This window comes from Homo sapiens, chromosome 12 (assembly GCF_000001405.40).
Source record: "Homo sapiens chromosome 12, GRCh38.p14 Primary Assembly".
NCBI classification, from domain to species: Eukaryota; Metazoa; Chordata; class Mammalia; order Primates; family Hominidae; genus Homo; species Homo sapiens.
Window position 1 is genome coordinate 38,193,056 of NC_000012.12, and position 21,238 is coordinate 38,214,293.

At 43.8% G+C, this 21,238-nt stretch overlaps 3 pseudogenes; 1 reads left to right on the forward strand and 2 right to left on the reverse strand.

Moving 5' to 3' along the window:
* Positions 8,454-10,875, forward strand: TUBB8P5 (tubulin beta 8 class VIII pseudogene 5; annotated as a pseudogene).
* Positions 12,330-12,957, reverse strand: LOC100421618 (ciliary microtubule inner protein 2A pseudogene; annotated as a pseudogene).
* NF1P12 (neurofibromin 1 pseudogene 12) lies at positions 13,177-14,139 on the reverse strand (annotated as a pseudogene).

Below are 21,238 nucleotides of genomic sequence, written 5' to 3' on the forward strand. Positions count from 1 at the left end.
TTTTAATAGCAGTGCAGAAACAGACTAACACACTACAATATATTGAGTTCAAAAATAGCTATAAATGCTTGAGGGGAAGTTTTTTATTATGTATTACTCATTGTATGCCTGTATCAAAGTATGTCATGTACCCCTGTAAATATATACACCAACTATGTACCCACAAAAATAAATTAAAAATTAAAATTAAAACCAAAGGGAGGAGAGTATAATGAGGCATGTGTGACCCGTGGCTTGAACTAGCTTTTCAGGTTAACTTTGGAATGTCAGAGAGGTCCATTTAGTCAACAGGGGCTTAGAAATTAATTTTTAGTTTATGAGTAGAAAAAAGAAGAATTTTTAATCCTGAGCCATAGCTCTCAGTCAATCAATCCCCGCAGGGAACCCTGTTCTTTACTCTGGAGATAAACACTATTTTTCTTTTCCACTGAATAACATCACATTTCAAAATGATGGAAACATCTTGAAACTAAAAGGTACAGCCTTATTAAATTTGATTTGGTTTCAATTATACTTAATTTAATCACATGTGTTCCAGAGTTTGTCCTCAGTCTTCTCCTACTTTAGGCCCATGATCTGTTGTATTTGCTCAGCTCCCTGCTCAACAGCAGGAAATCAGTTAGAATTACTTACAAACCTCATTGTGTCTGGGAGCGGTGGCTCATGCCTGTAATCCCAGCAATTTGGGAGGCCAAGGTGGGCAGATCTCTTGTTGTTAGGTGTTTGAGACCAGCCTGGCCAACAGAGTGAAACCCCATCTCTACTAAAGATACAAAAATTAGCTGGGTGTGGTGATGCATGCCTGTAATCGCACCTACTTGGGAGGCTGAGGCAGGAGAATCACTTGAACCTGGAAGGCAGAGGTTTCAGTGAGCCAACATGGTGCACTGCACTCCAGCCTGGGCAGCAGAGAAAGACTCTGTCACAAAGTAATAATAATAATTAATAAGTAAATAAAAATAAAAATCTCATTGCATTTCAAACAAAATTTCTTTTGAATAACAACTGTATCAACTTGCATATTAACTTTAATTATTTTGTTTACTTTATATCCATTCCTGAGAAATCTTTGAGAACTAATTTCACTCCTTTCTGCCATTTTGGTAAACATGTCAAATTCCATCAAACAAAATGCACAAAATTCCTGAGAAATAAATTTTATCCTTGAGGAATAGACTTGCCGTGTTAGAGGAACTCATGGTTACCAAGCTTCTAGTTTAATAAACATGACTAGAATACTCTATCTTAATATGAGTAGCTAGGTACTCACCAGGCATCTAGAAGATTAATACTTGTGGTCTGAAAATAGCCATATTTTTTAGCTGGACACAAATTAAAATTGCAGAATATTTATGGCCATACAAGACATCTTCCACCAAGCCTGAAAAATGTATAAGTGTCCTAAGAGTGCAGCATTTTTTCTGAAAGATAATACTAATGAGCTAGCTTAGGTCAACGGGTTAATGGTCATTGTTAAAACCAATAACCCCTTACTTAATAACTACATCTACACCGTCCAAGTTTAATAATAATTCTTTCTCTTTATACTTACTTATAAGTAGGGACACTAACAAAAGACAATGCATTCCTGCTCTTGTTTTCTGAGTATGTCCAAGTCTGTAATGGAGTCAATTCTAATAAACTTGCTTCTTTCACTGTGCTCTCTGACTCATCTCAAATTTTTTCCTGCACAAGATCTAAGAATCCTACTTTGTGGTCAGTATCAGGACCCTCTTTTCCAGCAACATCTTTCAGCAACACCATGAAGGGACACAAAGACAAGACCCCCACTCCAATGAAAACAAGCCATACAGAATCAATCAGCTGGCAAATGGGCCATCTTTTAGAGTCGTGAAGCCATTCTGGTGGGCAAGAATGATTATCCACTACTACTTAAGTGAGAGGCCCTAGGGTATAATGTTAGGGGGAGAGACTTAGCCCAAAAAGTTAGAGACCTGGGGGAGTCATACTCAGATTAGAAGCCAAGCTCACAAGGTTAGAGGACCTGGGGTATATTGAGAAGAATGGATTTGGCTAAACAAGATGGTTGCCACTTTCTGTTTTTGGACCGTCCACCTTACACTCTCTGTCCTTCATCTGAGTGCTCTGCATCTTGTCACCTTTCTGCTCACCGCCTCTGTTTTGTAGTAGCCTATACGCTGCCCCAGGAAAGAGGCTCCAAACAGTTTAGCTTTTACTTTCCTCAACGATCCTCTGACTTTTAGCTGATTGCTTATTTAATTTGCCACTGCTCCAAGTGACACTGAAAAAAAGAGATATCTTGGAACCTCGTATTTTTGTACCTTAATTATCAGAAAAAAATCAGCAATAACCTCTCCATCATTATGACTAGAAGTTGGAATGTGGTATTTAACAGCCCTACATGATAAGTTCAGATATGCCTGTTTAGCGACAACCTCTTTTATGACAATCCCCTGCAATTGATTAGCCTCAAGATGGAGAACATGAGAGTTTTTCTTAACAGTTTTCTCTCATTTCTTAACCGTAAGGTCATCTTTGATGAGCTGGTATAGCACAGCTGGACCCTACTTTCTAAATCCAGCACGTCACTTTTTCCCTGAAAGAGTTTTGTCAGTTTTGTCACGGCAGTGCGAAAATGGACTCATACATTACAATATACAAGTTACAGCCTTCCCATTTCTCCTGTTTGGTCTGACTCCTTTCTTTGCAGCTTAATTAGTTTTATAGAAGAGAAACTAAGTGGGAGGAAATACATTATATACAGGCTTCTCTGATGCTTGGTCAGGATAAAAAATTAAAATGGGCTTCTATATGTTTGATGGAGGAAAAGACAAAATAGGGATGGCACATAATTGATTACCCTTTTAATGCAAGTGCCTCTTAATATTAGGATTTTCTTAGCTAGGGCTGAACTCTCCCCTGCCAGTCCAAGCACTCCATAAGAACACAGTCAGACTCCTTCAAGTTCTGGTGAGGTGTGCAACATGTTATTAATGCCTTCTAGTTTTCCAGGGTTATGTAGTGTCCAGTCGTCATCTTCTCCCTGCCCTTCGAGTCGTGTCTTACATACATACCACACTCTCGAAACACCTGAGCTTCACTATAACAACATGCAGTAGGGCCTCTTATCAGCTGACAAAGTTGAATTTTTGCCCTCTCTGGGATGTGACAGATGATAATAGGGACACTCTATAGGTATATATACCCTTTTCTATGTCTGAATTAGTCATATGCAAGGAAAGACTAAAATAGTTTTCAGAGGTTCCAGGAAAATTCATAGACAAATTTAACCAGGCAAGGTTTGCATATATTTATGTTTACCTGCTGTGTGGTAGAAAAACAGTGTATTATGGGAGTGGCTAGAGGATGTGCTAATAGGGTGGCCGCCTGCAACCAGAGACGTGGCACCTATCAAGTAGGAGGCACAGCAGTGCCTGACAAGGACCCAAAAGACAACTAGAATCTGGAAAAGAGAAATGAATTAGGAAGAAAGTAGGATATATAGAGAAAAAATTATGATTGACTCCTTGAAGGAATAAAAAGAGTGTGATAAAACTTTTTAATTTTTATAAAATCTGGAAAATTACTCAGGGAAAAGATGAAATCCTAGCCTTATTACAAGGGTGGATAATTTAGATTTTGAGGAAATACACTAACACTGCCCCTGACTCCAAGAAGGGATGGGCATTGCGACATTGCTAGGAGTTTATTTTATAGCCCAGTCTGCTTCTGATATCTGCAGTAGGCCGCCAAAAGCAGCCTTAGGCTTCCAGACTCCCATGGATCAGCTTTTAGACTTGGCTTTTGCAGTTTTCCATCACAGGAATAGGACAGAGAAGACATAAAATAAAGCAAATCTCACAAGAGTCCCAGCTTCTAGCTGCAGCCTTGTGCTCTCCACCACTTCAGAGGCAGCCTCTTAACCCCTGGCCCTCACAGAGGAAGTGAGAAGGTGAAAGTCCCAGTCTGTGCCTCTGGGCCACTGTGCCTTGGATATAAATCAATGTGCCTTCTGTAAGAAGGTCGGCCACTGCCGAAGGAAATGCACTGTGCTTCCAAGGGAGACATCATCAGAGCCCAGCATAGCCAAAAGTGGTAGGGCCTGATACTTCCTGCCTCCACTCCCATTAGACTATTAGCTATTGAGAGATGGAGGAGCCTCAGGTGACTCCTGAAGTGGCAGGTAGGAGTATTAACTTCTTATTAGGTGTGAGAGCAGATGACTCTGTTCCTGATTCAATACAATGGGCTCCTGTCATCTCATGATGGACATGCCCAAAAACACTGCTTTTCTTATCTTCTAAGTTGTCCTCCAAAGCCTCTGGATTTCTCACCTGCCTTTTTAGTACTTTCTGAGTGCCTGATCTCTTACTGGGGAAAGGCTTATTGACTCAGGAGACCAAGTCATGGTCACCTTCACAGATCATAAAGCAGAGAAAGTTTTCCTTTTGTTCCTGACCCCTCAGGGGAAAAAAGAAGTTAAGAATGAGCTGTCACATTTACCACCTGAGGTGTTCTCTCAAGTAAATCCTGAGGTTTGGGCCACACAGGCTCTGGGAAACGCACTAAACACCTATTCAAATCCAACTTCAGCCTAGTGCTCCTCACCCTCAGAAGAGACAATACATTTTAAGGCAAGAAGCATGAGAGGAAATTCAAACCCTTATTTTTTTTTTTTTTTTTTTTTTTTGAGATGGAGTCTCACTCTGTTACCCAGGGTGGAGTGCAGTGGCATGATCTCGGCTCACTGCAAACTCCGCCTCCTGGGTTCACACCATTCTCCTGCCTCAGTCTCCCGAGTAGCTGAGACTACGGGCACCCACCACCACGCCAGGCTAATTTTTTTTTTTTTTTTTGTATTTTTAGTAGAGACGGGGTTTCACCGTGTTAGCCAGGTTGGTCTCGATCACCTGACCTCGTGATCTGCCCGCCTCGGCCTCCCAAAGTGCTGGGATTACAGGCGTGAGCCACCATGCCCGGCCTCAAACCTTTATTGCCAAATTCCTGCCATATGAGTTATTAAGGCCATGAGAGTCTCCTTACAATACTTGCATGTTACCAGATGAAAAGCCTAAAAGCAAGTGCAGATTTGTCAGAAACCTTAGAGCATTAATAAATGCAGTTGTCTCCATACACCTCATTGTCCCCAATACTTACCCAAGTCCCAGGGAATCCAAGCTGGTTTACATTCTTAAACCTGAAAGATGCATTTTTCTGCATCTCTATGCATCCAGATTCACAATATGTTTGCCTTTGAATGGACTGATCCAGATACGCATTCAGCCTCAAAACTAACCTGGACAGTCATCTCTGAAGGGTTCTGGGATAGCCTCCGCTTATTAGAAAATACTCTAGCTGAGGACTTAAGAAATCTACAATTGGAAAGGGACACAATTATTCAGTATGTAGGTGACTTGCTCATTGCTAGCCCAACTAAAGAAGACTCAAATAATAATACTGTTAAATTGGTAAATTTCCTGGGAACTTGCAAATATAGGGTATCACCATACAGGGCTCAGATTTTGACTGAAAGACTTAAATATGTGGAATCTGTCTTAACCTCTGGAACTGATCAACATCCCTAGAAGATAGAAAAGTTATTTTAGTCATCCAAGGGTCCCAGTCCAACAAATGACTGTGGGTTTTTTTAGGAGATGGCTGGGTACTGCTGCTTATGGGTGCCCAGATTTGGACATGTAGCCAAGCCTTTATACAATACACTAAAGGGAAAGATTTAGAGCTCCTAGAATGTAATTAGAACTGCAAGCAAACCTTCAATACTCTAAAGGAGAAACTGGGCTCTGCTGCAGCTGTGGGAGTCCCCAAGTTGGATGAACCATTTTTTCTTTATGTAGCCAAAAAGCAAGGCACAGACCTTGGGTAATCTTGTCCCAAAACTGGAGAACATTCCAAGGCCAGTAGCCTAATTTTCTAAGCCGATAGACCAGGTGGCCTCAGGGTGGCCTTGATGTCTTAGAGCTATTGCTGCTACAACTTTTCTAGTAGGCAAAGCTAATAAACAAACATTAGGACAGCACCTACAGGTTTTCAACCCCACGCCAAGGGAAAGTGGTCCTGGAAGATAAAGGGCACCAGTGGATAATAGGAGAATATTTATGAAAGTATCAGGCCTCATTGCTAGACACTCTGGACATAACCCTTAAAGCCTGACAAACCATAAAACCAGCTACTTATCTGCCAGAGTCCACAGATTCTCCCAGCCTTTCTGGCATACAGGTTGTATTAGTCTATTCTCATGCTGCTAATAAAGACATATCTGAGGCTGGGTAATTTATAAAGAAAAGAGGTTTAATTGACTCACAGTTCCACATGATTGGGGAGGCCTCACACTCATGGCAGAAGGCAAATGAGGAGCAAAGTCACATCTCTTACATGGCAGCAGGCAAAAGAGCTTGTGTAGGGAAATTCCCCCTTATAAAACCATTAGCTGTAATCCCATCACTTTGGGAGGCCAAGGCGGTGGATCACCTGAGGTCAGGAGTTCGAGACCAGCCTGGCCAACAGGGTGAAACCCCGTCTATACTAAAAGTACAAAAATTAGCCAGGCATGGTGATGGGCACCTGTAATCCCAGATACTTGGGAGGCTGAGACAGGAGAATCACTTGAACCCAAGAGTCAGAGGTTTCAGTGAGCCAAGATCATGCTACTGCACTCCAGCCTGGGCAACAGAGAAAGACTATGTCTCAAAAATAAATAAATAAATAAATAAAACCATCAGATCTCATGAGGCTTATTCACTGTCACAAGAACAGCATGGGAAAGACCTGTCCCCCAATTCAATTACCTCCCACTTGGTCCCTCCCATGATATATGGGAATTATGGGAGCTATAATTCAAGATAAGATTTGACTGGGGACACAGCCAAAGCATGTCACAGGTTATAAAACAAATTTATTCTAGGAGGCCAGACTTAAGAGAGATGAGCCTCTTGACCATCCCAAGGAAGAGTGGTTAACAGATGCAAGTTGTTTTATGCATCAGGAAAACAGGAGGACTAGATATACTATTATTAGTCAGCACAAGAGAATCAAGGCACAAGCATTGCTGGCCTCTACCTCAGCTCAAAAAGCTGAGTTAATTGAGCTTACTAGGCCCCTGCAGTTGGGAAAGGATTTAAAAGTTAACATTTACACTGATTCCAAGTATGATTTTTTAGTGCTTCATGCTTATGCTGCAATTTGGAATGGGTAGGGACTCCTGACCTCCAAGGGCTTTTCCATACAACATCATTCAGATTTTGAGCTTGTTAGAATGATGCTTTGCTGCCAAAAAGTGACTATAATTAATTGCAGAGGACTTCAAAAGACAGACTGACCAAGTAAAAGGAAATGCCCTTGTAGACACCACAGCCAAGGCCCCTGCACTGAAAGGGCCAAAGAAGCTTATGGGCGTGCTGGTCAGCATACATAGAACTGGGCCAGAATACTCTGAAGAAGAACAAAAATGGGCCAGGGTTTGCCGTTCAGTCCAGGACCCCTGTGGCTGACTGAATGATGGTAATAAATTACTAACGCCAAGTACCAATCATAGGAAAATAATTCAGCACTTTCATGATTCTTTTCACCCTAGAAGGGATTCTTTGTTTCTGTTAATGTCTCATTTGTTTATGGGGGTAAATCGTTTCAAGACACTAAAACAGGTGACTCAGCCGTGTGAGCTCTGTGCCTGACATGATCCAAATGGCCAGCAATTTTCTCCTTCTCCAGTTAAATCTGTCCAACATTGAGGAACCTATCCAGGTGAGAACTGGCAACTCTAATTTACTCAGATGCCTTTCTGCAGGAGATTCAAATATTTGCTAATGCTTACTGATACCTTCACTGGTTAGATCAAGGCATTCCGCACCCCATCTGAAAAATGTTTACCAGAAGAAATAATTCCCCAGTTTGGGTAATCTAAAAGCCTGCAAAGTGGCAATGGCCCATCTTTCACAGCAGGCGTATCCCAATACCTATCCTCAGCTTTAATAATCCAATATTACCTTCACTCTGTGTGGAGGCTGCAGTCCTCTGGTAAGGTGAAAGGGCTAATCCTACTCCAAAGAAGACTCTAGATAAATCAGAGGCCTGACTATCTCTGACACCCATAGCTTACTGCGGGTTTGAACTGCTCCAAAGTAAAACTTATAATTAAGTCCTGTTGAGTTAACATACGGAAGGCCTTTCCTAATCACAGATCTCCTAATAGATGAAAAGACTCATCAATCACAAAAATATGTCACCAATCTAGGACACTCTGTGAATATGGAAACAAGAGTCTTCCTCTCCCACATAGGAGGAAAATTCAGTTTCAGCTCAGCTAGGGATTTCGTCTTACTAAAGACATGGTAGGAAGTTCTCCAGCTGACCAGCTTTCCCCAACGTGGAAAGGACCACAGCAAGGCTACCTGAGCTCTCCAACAGACGTTCAACTCCAAGGGATTCACAGGTGGGTACACCTGAGCTGGGTCGCTGCGCCTCTGCTCCTCCTTCTCGCGTTTCTCCTGCCGCCCTAATCCCACCTTGGCCATGAGGCAGATTGTGCTCACGCAGACCGGGCAGTGCGGGAACCAGATCGGCGCCAAGGTTGGCAGCCAGGGCTCTGAGGGCCCAGCTCGGGCCTGCCGGGTGGCCAGGGAAGATGTTGGTAGCGGCAGTGGTGGGGCTGGCGCCCCTGCGTTGCGGCCCCTGGGCTCCCTGCCAGGGACGCAGTGGAACTGGCCAGCTGGCGAGGCGGCCAGGGTGGACCCCAGGGACACGGCGGCCTAGGGATGGGGGTGTGGATGAGGGTGGGGGTGGGAGAGGGGCTGGGAGAGGGACTGGGGCGCCTCCGGCTCACTGGCCTCCGTGACTCAGCCCTGGCCTGTCTGGCCCCTCCCATCTCTTGCAGTTCTGGGAGGTGATCTCTGATGAACATACCATCGACTCCACTGGCACCTACCACGGGATCAGCGACCTGCAGCTGGAGCGTATCAACGTGTACTACAATAAGTCCAGGGGTGAGACCCCAGTCCTTCCCCAACCGCCCTCCTGGGAATTGCGGCCCTCCCCTCGCTAATGCCCTCCCGTCCCACTCAGGTGGCAGGTACTTGCCCCGCGCTGTGCTCGTGGATCTGGAGCTGGGCGCCATGGACTCTGTGCGCTCGGGGCCCTTGGGGCAGAACTTCAGGCCAGACAACTTCATCTTTGGTGAGCCTTGGGTGAGAACTGGGGTGCGGCTCCTTAGCCAGGGTAGCTTAAAATCTGGGAATGCCCCAAGGTCATCGCTGTGGGAACTGTGGAGCCAGGGCCCCTGAACACCCTCCTATCCTCCTAGTCGCTTGATCTGCCTCTCCTAAACGGGCTTTGGGAGGAAGGCCCAGGTGTCTCAATGTGAGGAGCTACTGATGTAAACTCCCTGCAGGGAGCTGAGCTGGGGCCGTGGCTACTGCCTTCCCTGAAAATGGGCAGGAGCCACCTGCAGGGAGGTCTGTTAGCCTGTCTCAGGTTTGGCTCGTGATTTAATTTCTAACAGGGGAGGCTGCTGTCCTGTAACTCTGGGGGAGGGGGTTTCATTTGCTCCACCTGCAGGGTAATTGGTGTTCTCACCTCACACCTGACACTTGGTGCATTTTGCATTGTGGTGGTGACCACTGATGACCATATACCTGGCCATTGAGTGACTGGCTGTACTGTCTTACAGGTCAGTGTGGGGCCGGAAACAACTGGGCCAAGGGGCACTATACAAAATGTGCAGAGCTGATGGAGTCAGTGATAGACATTGTCAGAAAGGAGTCTGAGAGCTGTGACTGCCTGTAGGGTTTCCAGCTGACCCACTCCCTGGGTGCGGGGACTGAGTCTGGGATGGGTACCCTTCTCATTAGTAAGATCCGGGAGGAGTATCCAGACAGGATCATAAACCATTCAGCATCCTGCCCACACCCAAGGTGTCAGACACTGTTGTGGAACCCTGCAATGCCACCCTCTCAGTACACCAGCTCATAGAAAATGCAGATGAGACCTTTTGCGTAGATAACAAAGCTCTATATAACATCTGTTCCAGAACCCTAAAACTGCCCACACCCACCTATGGTGACCTGAACCACCTGGTGTCTGCTATGCTACCATGAGTGGGGTCACCACGTGCCTGCGTTTCCCAGGCCAGCTGAATGCTGACCTGTGGAAGCTGGCCATGAACTTGATCCTGTTTCCCCCGCTACATTTCTTCATGCCTGGCTTTGCCCCACTGACCAGCCGGGGCAGCCAGCAGTACCGGGCCCTGACCATGGCTGACTTTACCCAGCAGATGTTTGATGCTAAGAATATGATGGCCGCCTGTGACCCCCGCCATGGCCGCTACCGAATGGCGGCTGCCATTTTCAGGGGTTGCATGTCCATGAGGGAGGTGGATGAACAAATGTTCAACATTCAAAATAAGAACAGCAGCTACTTTGTTGACTGGCTCCCCTACAACATAAAAACAGCCGTCTGTGACATCCCACCCCAGGGGCTAAAAACATCATCCACTTTCATTGGCAACAACACGGCCATCCAGGAACTCTTTAAGCTTGTCTCAGAGCAGTTTACAGCAATGTTCAGGTGCAAGGCTTTCCTCCACTGGTACAGGGGTGAGGGCATGGATGAGACAGAGTTCACAGAGGCCTAGAGCAACATGAACGATCTTGTGTCAGAATATCAGCAATATCAGGATGCCACAGCTGACGAGGAGGAGGTGGCCTAGAACTTTCCTTTTCTGGGTAAAGGTGGGGAAGCAGTGCAGATTCTTTACTGTGTTCTGACAGCCATGTGTCACTATGCACTTGTTCATTTGGGTCTTCACATCTCCTCCTGCTGCATTTTGAAGCACTTTTATAGTATGCAGTTTTGCCTAATAAAGTATTCTCATAGCATCTGGTTTAACCTCCAACTTCTTTCTATAGTCCCTCTGGCTACTGCTGCCAGATGCACATAGTTGTCCTGCAAGGCTGAAGTTGTCTGGGCTTAACACATGCCCAGAAACAAGCATTCCAGTGGTTCCAGGAGGGGTCAGCATGGGCTGTGGACATGGCAGGTAGGCTTCACATGAACTTGGGGATGCCCTGGGCCTTGGGCAGCTATGTGGTGGAAAACCTGTTCCTGAAGGCAACACTTGGCTTATCCCATGTAGCAAACTTCCAGGGGAACAACTGGCCCTCTGTTTCTGGAACTTTAAAAGTGGTCAGTGACCCTGGTGGACAATGTTCCCAAAATCCCACCTCGGGGTAGGGATGTGGTCAGACAGCTGGTTCTGAACCAGCAATGAGGGGTGGGCAAGTAGGACTCCAGCCACTCCATCACCATGACGGCCTGGGTGTGTTTGTGTGGCCTCATTCTCTTGATGAGGTGGGCATGGGATATCTGCCAGGGACTAGTGGGCAGGAATCGAGCCCAGTGTATACTCACATGCACTGAACCCTATGTAGAAGGGGATTAGGTCCTGGGGGCCATAGATGGCAGTTGCTGGGCTGGTGTGCTCGGGGCAGTCTCTCCAAAGGCACAAATGGGGTTTCTGAACAGGATCTGAGGAGACATGCAGGTGCTCACAAGTGCTGCTTCCCCCAGTTGGCAACCAGTGAGAAAAACGCCCGAGTGGAGGTCTGACCTGCCTCAGTCTGGAGGGCTGATGCTCTCTAGAAAGGTGGCTAATGCACAGTGTCTGCTGTCTCCCTGTCCCCCACTCCAGAATTTCAGGGCAAAAATAAGATTGTCTGGATGAAACTGGTGAGGGTGGCACCTTTGGGGATAGGCCCTTTAGCCTGGCAGTTTCCTCCCCAGGCTTCTCGGGGAGCCTGGACTTCAAAGCCTGCTTTGGGGAACTTCAAATAAGAGATGTGTGTGTGAGCTGGGTGCTGTGCAGCATGTCAGGACAGTGCTCTTCTACCTGGCTCTTGCAGAACTTGTTCACAGCCTGTGTGATGACCTCTTGGTATTTCCTACCCTACCCCTATCACACAGAAAAGATGAAGCCAGCATAGCCTGGGGGTGGGCAGATGTACAGGTTCTACCCCAGGTCCCCTGGGCATACCACCTGCCTCAGATATGTCAGAGAAAAGAGGTGAGGCTCCTTTCTTTTCTCTGAATGTTGGCAGTGGCCTATTGCAGCCAAATGGGAACAGGCTGGCAGGAGAGTGCCTATCTTGAAGGAAGTGGCTCCTGGAAGCAGCTAGGAGGAGGGAGAGGTCCCCCATACTCCCCCAACCTGGTCTCAGAGCAGGCAAAGGGGCCTCTGTGATAGCCCTCCTCAATGGCTCTCACTCTCTGAGGGGTGTCCTTGCCCAACCCAGGTGTGCACCAATCTGGGATGGCCTTCCATGGATCTGGTTGGGAAGGTTCAGCTGCAGCAACCACTGGAACCTCCCACACCTAGTGTCTCCACTCACGTGTGGGGTCAGATGTTCCTCCTGTGGTGGTACAGCCAGAGTGGCAGAGGGGGCAAGTCACTGCTACAGTTCCCACCTGGGTCTGAGTGGGGGTCAGGCTTGGTGCCCATGTATTTCCCAATTACCTGGTTCCATCTGGGGAACAGGAGTGGTGCTTTTCCAGGCCTCTTTTCCATATGACAGCTACAGGCCCAGGTTTCCCAAGTTTCTGGAACCCCCCTTCCTGCCAGACAAGCACGGCATGTTGTGGGGGAAGGGCATCAAGCCTACAGGCAACAGAACCTGTCTGGGTATGTTCTCTACCCCTGGAGGCCCCTGGTTGTTTACCTGTTTCAGTGAAAGTCGGCTTAGGACCTCAACATTCTTGCAGGACTTCAGAACTGTACAGACAGGGGCCCAGGAGGGAGCAGGGGCTGGGACTGTCAGCTAACCAGTGTAGTGGGTGTTGTCGGGCTCAGTTTTGTCTTGCAGGGAATGCAGTGAGGCTTGGATTTGCTGAAGCTCTAGACAAGCTTGCGCTTGGATATGGAAACAGCATGGATCAGGGGCCCTTCTGCATGCTGGAGTCATTCAAAATACTTTAGTCATCAATTAAATGAACTAAATGTAAGTCTGAAAACAATAAGATATTTATTTTTATGAGAACATATATAACTTCTGGTTACCTTATTGTCACACTCTAGTTTGTGTGCAGTAAAGAATGACAAATTATTTTATCAATTACTACCAATATCAATGTGTAAGAGGTTTTTCTTATCTCTTAAAGTATGGTTCTGCTACATTTCAGTAGAACGCTTACCTGAACAGATATAACATAACTGGTTCAATGCTAGCTTGCCCTAGATGTTCAGAGCTGCCTTCAGTATGATTATCTAGCAAGTTCTTCATTATAGCTATGGTTTGCTCTACAAATTGAGTATTGGTATCAGTCAATAAAACCTATAGAAAGAGCAAACATATTAATGATTTACCATCAATGCCCAGAAGACAGACCCTTAGAGAGATGAAACCAACTGATCTAAACACACAAACAGAGACGTGCACCGACAGGCACACAGCCAAACAGGCATACAGATATATGCAGACACTCATACCCATACACAAGGCATGTATATCCTCAGGCACACATACACACCAGAGTTCCTAAGAAGCAAGCTGACCCCTACATTGAGATGACTCTTCTTTCTGCAATTTTTTGGCAATTTTTAAAAACTGTGAGCACCTAATTTAAATAATCGGAAAGAAAAAGTCTTCCTTATTTCAAACAAGTCACTCTATTCATAGGGAAAGGTGAAAAATAAAAAAGAACACACTTTACCTGTCCTTGGGAGTCAAAAAACTTGCTGATGGTATTCTTCAGTTTGTTAAATAGCATCAGATAAAGAACAGGACTTAATTCTAGACCCACCAGATCCTTAACATTGGTCCGTGTTTGAAGTCCCACTTTCCCATGGTTACACAGTATTAAGGACAACAGCTGATCCATACATTTGCTGACAGGTGTATCTGCATTTCCCTCTGAGGACATCACTGAAATCATAGAACCTTACATTCACTGACTGGACCCATGGGTGGGCTATAGGTTGCCAGGCCAGAATTACTTTTCTGCTGGAGGCACACTCCCCCAAGGGCACAAAGGAAGCCAGTCATGTTGATCCATTCCTGTAGAGAGTCTGTGTCAGACAAATCTATGCATCCTCCTCCACGCACATGGGACATTCGCCTCTTAACAATGGTCTTGTGAAGCTTTCAGCAGCCTAAACACAAAATTTTCATGTAAAGCATGAATTAAACCTAAATTAGTTGAGACTTGACAAATTCCTCTTTATCCAACATTTCTTCCATGACAAAAGTACAAGAAATGTAAAAAAACACATTAAAATCAACCCCAAGAGTGTCAGACAATGGGTGCAGGACAGTGGATGCAGCACATCGAGAGTGAGCCGAACCAGGGTGAGGTATGGCCTCATCTGGGAAGTTCAAGGGGTCAGGGAATTCCCTTTCCTAGTCAAAGAAAGGGGTGACAGATGGCACCTGGAAAATTGGGTCACTCCCACCCTAATACTGCACTTTTCCAACGGTCTTAGCAAATGACACACGAGGTGATTATATCCTGTGCATGGCTCGGAGGGTCCTATGCCCATGGAACCTCTCTCATTGCTAGCACAGCAGTCTGAGATCAAACTGCAAGGTGGCAGTGAGGCTGGGGGAGGGGCACCTGCCATTGCTGAGGCTTGAGTAGGTAAACAAAGTGGCCCGCCTGGAAGCTCAAACTGGGTGGAGCCCACCACAGCTCAAGGAGGCCTGCCTGACTCTCTAGACTCCACCTCTGGAGGCAGGGCATAACCAAAAAAAAAAGGCAGCAGAAACCTCTGCAGACTTAAATGTCCCTGTCTGACAGCTTTGAAGAGAGTAGTGGTTCTCCCAGCACACAGCTGGAGATCTGAGAATGGACAGACTGCCTCCTCAAGTGGGTCCCTGACACCTGAGTGGCCTAACTGGGAGGCACCCCCCCCCCCCCCAGTACAGACAGACTGACACCTCACATGGCCAGGTACCCCTCTGAGACAAAACTTCCAGAGGAACGATCAGGCAGCAACATTTGCTGTTCAGCAGTATTCACTGTTCTGCAGCCTCCACTGCTGATACCCAGGCAAACAGGGTCTGGAGTGGACCTCCAGCAAATTCCAACAGACCTGCAGCTGAGGGTCCTGACTGTTAGAAGGAAAACTAACAAACAGAAAGGACATCCACACAAAACCCCATTTGTATGTCACCATCATCAAAGACCAAATATATATAAAACCACAAATATGGGGAAAAACAGAGCAGGAAAACTGGAAACTCTAAAAATAAGAGCACCTCTCCTCCTCCAAAGGAATGCAGCTCCTCACCAGCAACGGAACAAAGCTGGACAGAGAATGACTTTGACAAGTTGAGAGAAGAAGGCTTAGGACAATCAAACTACTCCGAGCTAAAGGAAGAAGTTCGAACCTATGGCAAAGAAGTTAAAACCTTGAAAAAAAAATTACATGAATGGCTAAATAGAATAACCAATGCAGAGAAGTCCTTAAAGGACCTGATGGAGCTGAAAACCAAGGCATGAGAACTACGTGACAAATGCACAAGCCTCAGGAGCTGATTCGATCAACTGGAAGAAAGGCCATCAGTGATGGGAGATGAAACGAATGAAACAAAGAAAGAAAAGAAGTTTAGAGAAAAAAAGAATAAAAAGAAACCAACAAAGCCTCCAATAAATATGGGATTATGTGAAAAGACCAAATCTACATCTGATTGGTGTACCGAAAGTGACGGGGAGAATGGAACCAAGTTGGAAAACACTCTGCAGAATATTATCCAGGAGAACATCTCCAATCTAGCAAGGCAGGCCAACATTCAAATTCAGGAAATACAGAGAACACCACAAAGATATTCCTTGAGAAGAGCAACTCCAAGACACATAATTGTCAGATTCACCAAAGTTGAAATGAAGGGAAAAATGTTAAGGGCAGCCAGAGAGAAAGGTCGGGTTACCCACAAAGGGAAGCCCATCAGACTAACAGATGATCTCTCAGCAGAAAAATCTACAAGCTAGAAGAGAGTGGGGGCCAATAGTCAACTTTCTTAAAGAAAAGAATTTTCAACCCAGAATTTCATATCCAGCCAAACTAAGCTTCATAAGTGAAGGAGAAATAAAATACTTTACAGACAAGCAAATGCTGAGAGATTTTCACACCACCAGGCCTGCCCTAAAAGAGCTCCTGAAGGAAGCACTAAACATGGAAAGGAACAACGGGTACCACCCACTGCAAAAACATGCCAAATTGTAAAGACCATCAAGGCTACGAAGAAACTGCATCAACTAATGAGCAAAATAACCAGCTAACATCATAATGACAGGATCAAATTCACATATAACAATATTAACCTTAAATGTAAATGGGCTGAATGCTCCAATTAAAAGACACAGACTGGAAAATTGGATAGAGTCAAGACCCATCAGTGTGCTGTATTCAGGAGATCAATCTCACATGCAGAGAAACACATAGGCTCAAAATAAAGGGATGGAAGAAGATCTACCAAGCAAATGGAATACAAAAAAAGTCAGGGGTTGCAATCCTAGTCTCTGATAAAACAGACTTTAAACCAACAAAGATCAAAAGAGACAAAGAAGGCCATTACATAATGGTAAAGGGATCAATTCAACAAGAAGAGCTAACTATCCTAAATATATATGCACCCAATACAGGAGCACCCAGATTCATAAAGCAAGTCCTTAGAGACCTACAAACAGACTCCCACACAATAATAATGGGAGACTTTCACACCCCACTGTTAACATTAGACAGATCAAAGAGACAGAAAGTTAACAAGGATATCCAGGAATCGAACTCAGCTCTGCACGAAGTGGACCTAATAGACATCTGCAGAACTCTCCAACCCAAATCAACAGAATATACATTCTTCTAAGCACCACACCACACCTATTCCAAAATTGACCACATAGTTGGAAGTAAAGCACTCCTCAGAAAATGTAAAAGAACAGAAATTATAACAAACTATCTCTCAGACCACAGTGCAATCAAACTAAAACTCAGGATTAAGAAACTCACTCAAAACCGCTCAACTACATGGAAACTGAACAACCTGCTCCTGAATTACTACTGGGTACATAACGTAATGAAGGTAGAAATAAAGATGTTCTTTGAAACCAACAAGAACAAACACACAACATACCAGAATCTCTGGGACACGTTGAAAGCAGCGTGTGGAGGGAAATTTATAGCACTAAATGCCCACAAGAGAAAGCAGGAAAGATCTAAAATTGACACCCTAACATCACAATTAAAAGAACTAGAGAAGCAAGAGCAAACACATTCAAAAGCTAGCAGAAGGCAAGAAATAACTAAGATCAGAGCAGAACTGAAGGAAATAGAGACACAAAAAGCCCTTCAAAAAATCAATGAATCCAGGAGCTGGTGTTTTGAAAAGATCAACAAAATTGATAGACCACTGGCAAGACTAATAAGAAAAGAGAGAAGAATCAAATAGACACAATAAAAAATGATAAAGGGGATATCACAACCGATCCCACAGAAATACAAACTACCATCAGAGAATAAACACCTCTCTATGCAAATAAACTAGAAAATCGAGAAGAAATGGATAAATTCCTTGACACATACACCTTCCCAAGACTAAACCAGGAAGAAGTTGAATCTCTGAATAGAGCAATAACAGGTTCTGAAATTGAGGCAATAATTAATAGCTTGCCAACCAAAAAAAGTCCAGGATCAGTTGGTTTCACAGCCAAATTCTACCAGAGGTACAAGAAGGAGCTGATACCATTCCTTCTGAAACTCTTCCAATCAATAGAAAAAGAGGGAGTCCTCCATAATTCATTTTATGAGGCCAGCATCATCCTGATACCAACGTCTGGCAGAGACACAACAAAAAAAGACAATTTTAGACCAATATCCCTGATGAACATCGATGCAAAAATCCTCAATAAAATACAGGCAAACCGAATCCAGCAGCACATCAAAAAGTTTATCCACCATGATCAAGTGGGCTTCATCCCTGGGATGCAAGGCTGGTTCAACATACACAAATCAATAAACTTAATCCACCATGTAAACAGAACCAAGGACAAAAAATCTCAATAGATGCAGAAAAGGCCTTTGACAAAATTCAACAACCCTTCATGCTAAAAACTCGCAATAAATTAGGTATTGATGGGACATATCTCAAAATAATGAGAGCTATCTATGACAAACTCACAGCCAATATCATACTGAAAGGGCAGAAACTGGAAGCATTCCCTTTGAAAACTGGCACAAGACAGGGATGCCCTCTCTCACCACTCCTATTCAACATAGTGTTGGAAGTTCTGGCCAGGGCAATCAGGCAGGAGAAGGAAATAAAGGGTATTCAATTAGGAAAAGAGGAAGTCAAATTGTCCCTGTTTGCAGATGACATGATTGTATATCTAGAAAACCCCATCTTCTCAGCTCAAAATCTCCTTAAGCTGATAGGCAACTTCAGCAAAGTCTCACGATACAAAATCAATGTGCAAAAATCACAAGCATTCTTATACACCAATAACAGACAAACAGAGAGCCAAATCATGAGTGAACTCCCATTCACAATTGCTTCAAAGAGAGTAAAATATCTAGGAATCCAACTAAAAAGGGATGTGAAGGACCTCTTCAAGGAGAACTACAAACCACTGCTCAATGAAATAAAAGAGGATACAAACAAATGGAAGAACATTCCATTCTCATGGGTAGGAAGAATCAATATTGTGAAAATGGCCATACTGCCCAAGGTAATTTATAGATTCAATGCCATCCCTATCAAGCTACCAATGACTTTCTTCACAGAATTGGAAAAAACTACTTTAAAGTTCATATGGAACCAAAAAAGAGCCCACATTGCCAAGTCAATCCTAAACCAAAAGAACAAAGCTGGAGGCATCACGCTACCTGACTTCAAACTGTACTACAAGGCTACAGTAATCAAAACAGCGTGGTACTGGTGCCAAAACACAGATATAGACCAATGGAACAGAACAGAGCCCTCAGAAATAATGCCACATATCTACAACCATCTGATCTTTGACAAACCTGACAAAAACAAGAATGGGGAAAGGATTCCCTATTTAATAAATGGTGCTGGGAAAACTGGCTAGCCATATGTAGAAAGCTGAAACTGGATCCCTTCCTTACATCTTATATAAAAATTAATTCAAGATGGATTAAAGACTTAACTGTTAAACCTGAAACCATAAAAACCCTAGAAGAAAACCTAGGCAATACCATTCAGGACATAGGCATGGGAAGGACTTCATATCTAAAACACCAAAAACAATGGCAACAAAAGCCAAAACTGACAAATGGGATCTATTTAAACTAAAGAGCTGCACAGCAAAAGAAACTACCATCAGAGTGAACAGGCAACCTACAGAATGGGAGAAAATTTTTGCAATCTACTCACCTGACAAAGGTCTAATATCCAGAATCTACAAATAACTCAAACAAATTTGCAAGAATAAAACAACCCCATCAAGAAGTGGGTGAAGGATATGAACAGACACTTCTCAAAGGAGACATTTATGAAGCCAACAGACACATCAAAAAATGCTCATCATCACTGGCCATCAGAGAAATGCAAATCAAAACCACAATGAGATACAATCTCACACCAGTTAGAATGGTGATCAATAAAAGGAAACAACAGGTACTGGAGAGGATGTGGAGAAATAGGAACACTTTTGCACTATTGGTGGGACTGTAAACTAGTTCAACCATTGTGGAAGACAGTGTGGTGATTCCTCAGGGAATCTAGAACTAGAAATACCATTTGACCCAGCCATCCCACTACTGGGCATATACCCAAAGGATTATAAATCATGCTGTTATAAAGGCACATGCACACGTATGTTTACTGTGGCACTATTCACAATAGCAAAGACTTGGAACCAACCCAAATGTCCATCAATGATAGACTGGATTAAGAAAATGTGGCACGTATACACCGTGGAATACTATGCAGCCATAAAAATTGATGAGTTCATGTCCTTTGTAGGGACATGGATGAAGCTGGAAACCATCATTCTCAGCAAACTATCACAAGGACAAAAAACCAAACACCTCATGTTCTCACTCATAGGTGGGAATTGTACAATGAGAACAGATGGACACAGGAAGGGGAACATCACACACTGGGGCCTGTTTTGGGGTGGGGGGAGGAGGGAGGGAAGCATTAGGAGATATACCTAATGTAAATGACGTGTTAATGGGTGCAGCACACCAACATGGCACATGTATACATATGTAACAAACCTGCACGTTGTGCACATGTACCCTAGAACTTAAAGTATAATTTAAAAAAAAAAGAAAAATAAATCAGTATTTCACTACCTCTAGCCACTTTATTAGCAGAAAATTTTTATTTTTAGAGCAGTGTTACAGATTAGCATTATCCTACAACTCCCACTAGTATTAACCTTGATATAATAATTTAAATTTCCAAGATTTCAATTAGAGAAGAAAGCTTTAAGCTGCTAATTGTCCCTCAGGTACTTTCTTCTGGGTCCTGAGGCATGGAATCTCCCCAGACAGATCTATTTTTCACATGCCCTAAGTATGCACTTAAAGGGATTGTGCTGAACAGCTCTCACCTTCTTTCTGGTTTGTTAATTCCTAAAATGAGGCCCTAGCCACAAAATGGTGAAACTACAGTATAGGTTCTGGAATTTGACCAACATCAGTTCAAATCCTGACTATAATTTATAGAATATGTATTATGCAGCAAGTTACTTGATCTCTTTGTGCTTCTGTTTCTGTATCTTCATCTGCAAAATATGGGCCCTAATACTTGAAGATAAAATGAGGTAATTTAAGTGTTTTGCAGAGTGACTTCCACGTATTGTCAGTGAGTGGTAGCTATTTTTGGCAACAACTTTTCATCCTTATTTGTATGGCCAGGACTCACCTCCCCTTTCCTGGCACACACAAAAAAAGACAAGGAAAATTATGTAGCATCCCAGACACAAACCAGTATTTTCCATAGTGAAAGCCAAGATAAGTTAACAACAACGTCATCAATAATACCAACAATCATACTGAGCAAGTGCCTGCAAACAAAAAGAAAATTAATCCTTGATTTCAAAAGGCTTATGGATCATGAAACTTTTATTAGAAATACTTTGTCTATAAAATGACATTGTCTATATGATAATATATCCAAAAAAGCTTTCCATTTCTGCTTCTTCAACTGGAATCTTGCTTTGGTTTTCTTATATTTTTATTAATATATGCTTTAGCGTATATGCATGACCCCAAACTGTAAGAATT